Here is a 4097-nt window from a genome sequence, read left to right on the forward strand (position 1 = left end):
TCTCTACTAAAAATACTAAATTAGCAGTACATGGTGACAGGTAATCCCAGCTACTCGGGAAGCTGAGGCAGGAGAATCGCTTGAACCTGGGAGGTGGAAGTTGTAGTGAGCCAAGATTGCACCACTGCACTCTGGCCTGGGTGACAGAATGAAATTCTGTCTTAAAAAAAAAAAAAAAAAAAAAAAGAATAAAGTAAAAATCAAAGAAAAGGAGTTAATTTTAAGGTTCCAATCTCAAGACAATATTTTGAATCTACAGCAAGGTAATGGTCCTAGAAATCAGGCTTCATGGAGAGAGAAAAAAGTTTTTAAAATTCTTGGAGGTTTCCATTAACATATAGAAAGCCAGGCTAGGTCACAGAGGATCAAAGCCACAAGTGGAGAGCAGGCAGGAGAAATGACTTGTGGGAAATTTCCACCAGACAGGAAGAGAAAATAGAAACCATTGCCCTGGAGAAGGAAGGGAGATTTTGAGAGGGCACAACCAGGATGTGTACCGCAGCTTGGTCACTGAGAAATGACTGTTTCCTCCCCAACCCCACCTTACTTAAGCAAAATTGGGGCAGGGTGTGATGAGGCATTGGAAACCCTCACAGAAAGCCCAGATAGCTTGAGGGAGAGTCAACACATCTTGACTTGTCCCCCGTGTCCCCCCTGTGACTACTGTGGTAGGGAAGTGGTGAAACTTCCACCATCCCTCTTCCAGGGTAGAGGGTTCCTTATGGCCCAGAGTTCCTGTCTGCCCCAGGGAGAGGACACCAAGGTGCTGAGAACAATGTTGTCTTGGTATAGACTTCAGGGCTAAGAAGCAAGAGGCCACAAACCATAGAGGGCTGGTGATTTGAGGGACCCAGAGACCTTGGACATCAGCAGCAGATGCCAGCGGATGCCCATAAAGGACAGTGAAATTGGCCACACCTAAGTAAACACCAGCCAAGGACATTCAGGGACAAAACCAGCGTGTAGCTGAAGACTCAGGACTCCAAGGACTATATGCCAGCTTTTCTCTGCCCCCAGATATCACCTTGGGAAGAAGATATGGGCAAAGTGACCCCTTAAGAGAGGAGGGAAGCAGTCTTTGAATTTCCTGGGCAATTTACCCAAATGAAGCTGAGTTAATCCCAAAGTGAAATGTTTTAAACAGGAACAAAGTCAGTTGCCCTTAATTAAAATTAATTTAATTAATTTGAATTTTTCTCTGCCAGCAGGAGGAAAGGTAGCTTCAGAGTAAGTGAGTAATTATAAACAATAATGAACTTCATCTTTTTTATACTTCTGAGTGTTCTGTATAAATTTTGTTTTGTAAATTCTGCATGACCTCTCTCACAAGATTGACCCTTTGCTCTGGAACTTTGTCTTTGAGTCACTGAGTCATATTAAGGGTGGTGAATGAATTTTATCTAACATAACCATTACTTTTACTTACTAAGTAATTTTAAACATAAACATGGAAGGAAATTAAGATAGAAAGAAAAATATCATATCCCTCCACCCTAAAGCAAAAACATCCATTTTGAAAAAATATTTTCTTTGCCCATGTGGTTAATATACTGGTGAGAGATTGGCCAAACCGTTTGCCTACAAAAGTCTGTCCTGTCAACATCCTGAGTTTGTCCTTGGTGACGTAAAGGAAAAGAGAGAGAAAGAGAGAGAGAAATGAGCTGAGTACCTGATGTTGTCATATGGCATCAAGCTTCTCCTTACTTGGATGCCCTTCCAATTAGTGAAACAGGACATTTTTAGGATGGTGTCCAGACTCAACAGTGTCAATAGGATTTCACTCTTTCTATCTTACTTCTTAGTGTTTGCCATTATACAAAACCCCAGGATTCACGGGGATTCCTCTCTATTCTTCATCTGGCATTCTAGACCCTGATTCTGGGGCTCTTGACTGTTGGATTATTGACATTATGATGTTATGGGTAGGATATTCCAAGTAGAATCCCTGAGTTTTTATTAATTGGAGTCTTAAAGAACAGATTTACAGATTTAAACTTTGCTTACCTCTGCCTGTTTTTCTCCTTTGTGTTTTAATGCATGTGACACTTTAAGGAAGTGTTTTACTTGGATACTTGGGAAATGAGCAGTGAAGTGAAATAGCTTTCCCTGCTCTTATTTGTATTGCTCTGATTTGGAGGCATATACTCTTCTAAATGATTGCTTATTCACGTGCTTCTGTCAAATTAGAACCTTAAAGAGGCATGATCAGATTTGCCCACATTCCTGAGTAGGGGAGATGCCTATTTCAACAATAGTACCTACAGGGTTAATACAGACCAAGAAGCCTACTTGTTGTGGGTAAGTTACAGTAGCTGGTATTTTAAGATGACATTTGTTTGTCTCTGCAAATATTCCCACAAGTGTTCTCTCAGTAGTTCACTGTTTGGAGCTTCTTGCAGAAGTATCTCAAACATGATGATCATGGGGCCACATGAGAAGTACTAAGCACCGTTGATGATGTTCCTGTGTATTTTTCAGCTTTGAAGGGGGTGACACTTAGATAAACCCTGGAGAAAAAAAAATAGAGAAAAGACTGAATCAAACCTAGAGGCAAAAGCTATGGACAAATGGGTGAAATAAACAAGCAATTTTCTTTTTGTTGTTCCTGAAGCCCACTACATTAGCTTTGGCAGCATTACCAGATTTTAAGTCATGCTGACCAAATCAAATACGAAAATCAGATCGTGATAAGCTGGACTGACATTATTTCTAATTTCTTTTATAATTTCCTTTGTGAGTCATGAATAATTTAGAACCATATTTCTTTCAGTTTCTGAACACACAAAAGTATTTTTGTTTTTTTCTTTGAAATTGAGTTCTCATTGCATTGTGTTGGAGAATATAGTCTGCATGTTTTATCAATCAATTCCTTAATATTTATTGAAATGTCCTTTATGGTCTGGTATGTGCTCAGTTTTTGAAAATATTCTCTGGAAAATTGAAAAGAATTCAGATTATTTAAGAGTTGACATAAAGTTCTAAATATGTGAATTTGACCAAATGTCTTACTCCTGCTGTTTAACTCACCAACATCATTAATTTTTTGATCACTTGATCGATCAGTCTGTAATAATTAAGTATTAAAAATTACACTCTAAGAAATTCAATATACCATAATTTTATTGACCTTTACTTTATATGAGTTGTTGCTTTTGTAGGGCAAAAAGTGGTCAACTATTAGGAATTTCTTACAGTTTGATGTAATATTTTGGAGCTATGTTGCTCATGTTTGTTGGTTCAGGTTTGTAATATTTTTCTGACATATTGTGTGATAATGTTTTTACTTTAAAGTCTATTTCATCTGCCAATTTATATGGTTAGAGCATCTTTATTTTGATCAGTATTTAAAAAATGTAATCCACATATCTTTCTTCTGATTAAATTCTATTTGGACTAATGTCTGGCATATTATTATTATTTTTTCTATTTACTATGAGTTTGACTCACAATAAATATTCAGTACTTGGTAGTTTAAAAATAACAAATATTATTAATTTAATAATTGATGTATTTATTATTAATATTCTCTTTATAAGAGTTTAACTTTGATGCTGATGTAGTTTCATTATGATTTTTTAAAAATTATGATAAAATATTTCCTGTATTTATTAGCCATTTCATAAGCTTACCTGATTTTTTTATTTGAGGTTTTATTGTATTTTACAGTAGCAGGGTGGGTGAAAAGAGGATACATAGAATTTTTATGTATCAGTGTTAGCTGTGGGGTTAGCTTTGGCTTATTGAAGTTACCAATAATGAACAATCCTCAGTATCCAAAGGATACAGAATCATAAAACGTTGGAGATGGAAAAAAACATCTATTGAGGCCGGGTATGGTGGCTCACACCTGTAATCCCAGCACTTTGAGGGGCTGAGGTGGGCGGATCATGAGGTCAGCTGATCGAGACCATCCTGGCTAACACGGTGAAACCCCGTCTCTACTAAAAATACAAAAAAAATTAGCCGGGCTTAGTGGTGGGCACCTGTAGTCCCAGCTACTTGGGAGGCTGAGGCAGGAGAATGGCATGAACCCGGGAGGCGGAGCTTGCAGTGAGCCGAGATGGCACCACTGCACTCCAGCCTGGGTGACAGAGCGA

This window comes from Homo sapiens, chromosome 17 (genome assembly GCF_000001405.40).
Source record: "Homo sapiens chromosome 17, GRCh38.p14 Primary Assembly".
NCBI classification, from domain to species: domain Eukaryota; kingdom Metazoa; phylum Chordata; class Mammalia; order Primates; family Hominidae; genus Homo; species Homo sapiens.